The 4,241-nt window shown below is 50.1% G+C and overlaps 2 annotated features.

Moving 5' to 3' along the window:
* Positions 1-110: an enhancer, noted in NCBI's record as "active region_13876". NCBI's record gives its function as "activates an Ori minimal core promoter by ATAC-STARR-seq in GM12878 lymphoblastoid cells {active_cell/tissue: GM12878}" and the evidence as "EXISTENCE:reporter gene assay evidence [ECO:0000049][PMID:35858748]".
* Positions 3,865-3,964: an enhancer, noted in NCBI's record as "active region_13875". NCBI's record gives its function as "activates an Ori minimal core promoter by ATAC-STARR-seq in GM12878 lymphoblastoid cells {active_cell/tissue: GM12878}" and the evidence as "EXISTENCE:reporter gene assay evidence [ECO:0000049][PMID:35858748]".

Here is a 4,241-nt window from a genome sequence, read left to right as displayed (position 1 = left end):
AAGAGGGGTCACCCCTCTCTGAGCACTTTCTATGTAGTTTATTTAATCTCATGCAATCTTCACAACCATCCAAGGAGGAAGGCCCTGTTGGCTTTATTGGCCCCGTTCTGTAGATGAGGAAGCTGAGGCTCAGTGAGGCAAGGCTCTGTGACACACTGTCCCCCAGAGGCTGCAGCATGCAGAACCCCTTAGAACATCTGCTTTGTTAACGGCATGTTGAGAGACACAGCCTCTGGGAACCTGTGTTAGGCACGTTGGCCGAGGGGCCGGGCACCCGTATTGCTAACCCTGCCTGTCTCTGCCAGTGACCTGAACTCACACAGATGGTGCAGTGGACAACCTCTGCTCACCACTTGCACCTGCAGAAGACTCATCAGGGCACACAGGGCCATGCCACAGCAGTTCCCTTCCCACACTGCATTATTCAGTAAGCACAAAGCAATATGGCAGGTGTGATAGTTGGAGCCCAGGTGAGCAGCCCCTGAGCCCCAGACTTGGAAGTCCAGGGAGGCTTCCTCAGGAAGCAGTGCCCAGCACATACCTGAAGGATGTGAAGGACCTGGGACAAGCACAGGGCCACAGGTGATTGCACTCATCCACAGCAAGGAGAACCAAAGGGGAAAGTGGCTATAATGGGGGAAGCTAGAGACAGAGGCCATTGTGTCTGGGTCCAATGGCATAGCTTTAGCTTTTATCCCTAAGGCAATGGGGAGACATGGGAAGTTTTATGCGGAGGGGAGGCAAAGTCTGCTCTTTGTTTCAGAAAGCTCCCTTTAACTGGGCATGGAAGGAATGGTTAGAGGGTATAATCCTGGAAGCTGGCAAGGTGGCAATGCTGTCATTCAGGAAGACAGGACAGTGGCCCAGCCATAGGAGGGAGAAAAGTGGGTGACTCGGGGGGGAATTCGAGAGGCAAAATGAGCTGGACTTTGTGTAGATATGGGTGGATGGGGAGCGAGAATGCCACCCAGCTCTCAGCCTGACTCCCCAGCGGACAGGGTCTGGGACAGGCTCCAGGGTCAGCACTTTTGACTGACAGCCTCAAGTCTATGGGTGTAGTGTCCCTGTCCACTTCCCTCCATTCATCTATTTGCATTTCCTGAGCCTGGAACTTTCCAGCTGCTCCTCTGGTTGCCCTGGAAGGGGGAGGGCTGGGAAGGAGGTCTCCCATCCCAGCAGCTGGCCCGCAAGGCAGAGGCTGCCCCCGGCTGACGCTCTTCCTTTTCCTCCAGGTAGCACTGTGCCAGGGCATCTGGGAACCCCAGAGGAAGGGCAGGGTGTCCAGCGGGTGGGCAAGGGGTCATGGCTATGGGCTCCTCTCTTCCCATGAGCTCATGGGCTCAGCACCCTGCCAGGTGTCAGCAGGAGAGGGCTCAGGAATCCTAGGTGGACGGTGGGGGCTGAGAACCTGTGTTTGTCATCTGGACAGGTGTGTGGATGTCACCCTGGAGGCACATCTGGCTCTTTATCCTTTAGTCTGCTCAAACAGTACTCCCTCAAGGGACTTCACCTCTCTCTATCTCTCTGCTCCCCTCCATACCTCCCCCATTTTGTTTTCTGAGTCGTCTTTATTTTATTTATACGTTTATTTTTGAGACAGCGTCTCACTCTGTCACCCAGGCTGGAGCGCAGTGGCACCATCTCAGCTCACGGCCACCTCCGCCTCCAGGGTTCAAGTGATTCTCCCGCCTCAAACTCCTGGGTAGCTAGGACTGTAGGCTTGCACCACTGTGCCCGGCTAATTTTTTTTTTTTTTTTTTTTTTTTTTTTTTAGTAGAAACAGGGTTTCACCATGTTGGCCAGGCTAGTCTCACACTCCTGGCCTCAAGAGATCTGCCCGCCTCAGCCTCCCACAGTGCTGGGATTACAGGCATGAGCCGCCTTGGGTCCGGCCTAGTTGTATAATAATTTCATTATGTATTACAATGTGGTAATAATATAACAACAGTGCATCATAGTGCACAGTAAATGTAATGTTCTTGAATCATCCTGGAACCGCCACCTTCCAACTGTCTTCCATGAAACTGGTCCCTGGTGCCAAAAAGGTTGAGGATCTCTGGCTTTAACACCATCCCCTTTGTGCTATTCTTGTGACAGTGTGACAATAAGTTCTCGTGAGACTCTGTCATTTAAAAGTGTGTGACACCTCTCCCCTCCCCTCACTCTCTCTTGCTCCTGTTCCTGCCATGTAAGACGTGCCTGCTCCTTCTTCACCTTCTGCCATGATTGTAAGTTCCCTGAGGTCGCCCCAGAAGCCAGCACCCTGCTTCCTGTACAGCCTGCAGAACCGTGAGCCAGTTAAACCTCTTTTCTTTATAAATTACCCAGTCTCAGGTATTTCTTTATAGCAATATGAGAATGGACGAATACATCATCCATCCATCCATCCATCCATCCATCCATCTACCTACGACTCTAACTATCTATATATCTATCTACGTAGTATGTATCTATTTTTTTTTTTGAGACAGGGTCTTGCGCTGTCTTGCCCAGGCTGAGTGCAGTGGTGCCATCATAGCCTAGTGTAGCCTCAACCTTTCAAGCTTAAGTTATCCTCCCACCTCAGCCTCTCAAGTAGCTGAGACCACAGATGCATACCACCACACACAGCTAATTTTTTATTTTTTTGTAGGGACAGGTTCTCACTATGTTGCCCAGACTGGTCTCAAACTCCTGGACTCAAGGGATTCTCCCACCTTTGCCTCCCAAAGGATTACAGGCCTGAGCCACTGTGCCTGGCTCTGTCTGTCTGTCTGTCTATCTATCTATCTATCTATCTATCTATCTATCTATCTATCTATCTATCTATCTATCTATCATCATCATCATCTATGCATCCATCTATCTATAATTCTATCTATCTATCTCCCTCTCTCTGCCTCTCTCCCTCCCCAACACTCCTTTCCTATCTCCCAGGCTGTCATTCATACAACACAGGTTCTACCAGTCAAACCAATTCATAAAATCACAAAACCAACCCAGATTCAAGGGCTGAGAGGTAGATTCCACTTCCTAACAAAATCAGACAAAATTGCAGTCATATTTTCAGGTCAACCAGAATAGCCCTTCCCCAACCTCACAGCCCGGGACTTGGGTCTTGTGATGCTTCCCACAGTGGGGAGTTCAGTTTAAATGCCTTCGCTCCACCATTCAGGGGTTTCTACCCCTAGCAGGCACAAACATCCATTAAAATATAAATGGCCTCAGTTTCTTTCTTTCTTTCTTTTTCTTTTTTTGAGACAAGGTCTCATTCTGTTGCCCAGGCTGGAGTGCAGTAGCATGATCTCAGCTCACTGCAGCCTCTGCCTCCCAGCCTCAAGCGATCCTCCCACCTCAGCCTCCCTAGTGGCTGGGATTACAGGTGCGCACCACCACGCCTGGCTAATTTTTGTATTTTTAGTAGAGACGGGGTTTCACCATGTTGATCAGGCTGGTCTTGAACTCCTGACCTCAAGTGATCCACCTGCCTCGGCCTCCCAAAGTGCTGGGGTTACAGTGGTGAACTACCATGACTGGCCCTTCAGTTTCTTAAGAACCCTGCCTTGAGCAGCAGTCATTGCAGTGTGCATAAAATATATAGTTAATACATACAAATATTTTGGATAAAAATGACTTTTGAGCACTTTCTTTTTTTTTAGTTTTTCCCTTCTCCAATGTGACTATTGTGTTTAAAAAAAAAAAAAAGCAGTCAGCTGTCATCTGACAGAGGTTTCTTAGGAGAATGGGAGGGGTGCTGAATCCCCAGCCCTCTTCCTGGAAGGTAGGTGGGGGTGACCCCAGGGCTGTGTTTGAGGACGTGAGAAAGAATGACTCGCTGACCGGTTAGGACCTTCCCAAGCTTTCCTGAGCCAGACCTGGGAGAGGTTCCCACGGCAGACGATTCACATCCGAAGGCTAGGGGACTTCCCAAAGCTTAGCCCCAGAGGGCAGCTACGGAGGCGCCCACCTCTTAGAATGAAGTTGTAACAATTGTTGCATTTAGTCAGTGTGGGCTGAGTGCCAGGCCCAGGACTAAGAAGTTATGAACACTGCTTTATATCTTCCTCCCAACAAATCGAACACACAGGCTGCCTTTTCGTCCTTCAGACAGACCTCTCTCCAGCCTCCGGGACTTTGCACATGCTGTTCTCTCTGCTCAGCGTTCTCTCTTCCAGGTCCCCTCTGCTTCCGGGATCTTCACGGATGGCCCCTTCTCATTCTCTAGACTTGAAGTCACAAGTCACCTCAGGCAGGCCTCCCTC

This window comes from Homo sapiens, chromosome 19 (assembly GCF_000001405.40).
Source record: "Homo sapiens chromosome 19, GRCh38.p14 Primary Assembly".
NCBI lineage: Eukaryota > Metazoa > Chordata > Mammalia > Primates > Hominidae > Homo > Homo sapiens.
The sequence above is the reverse complement of the archived record's forward strand: the minus strand, read 5'-3'. Positions and strand labels throughout refer to the sequence as shown.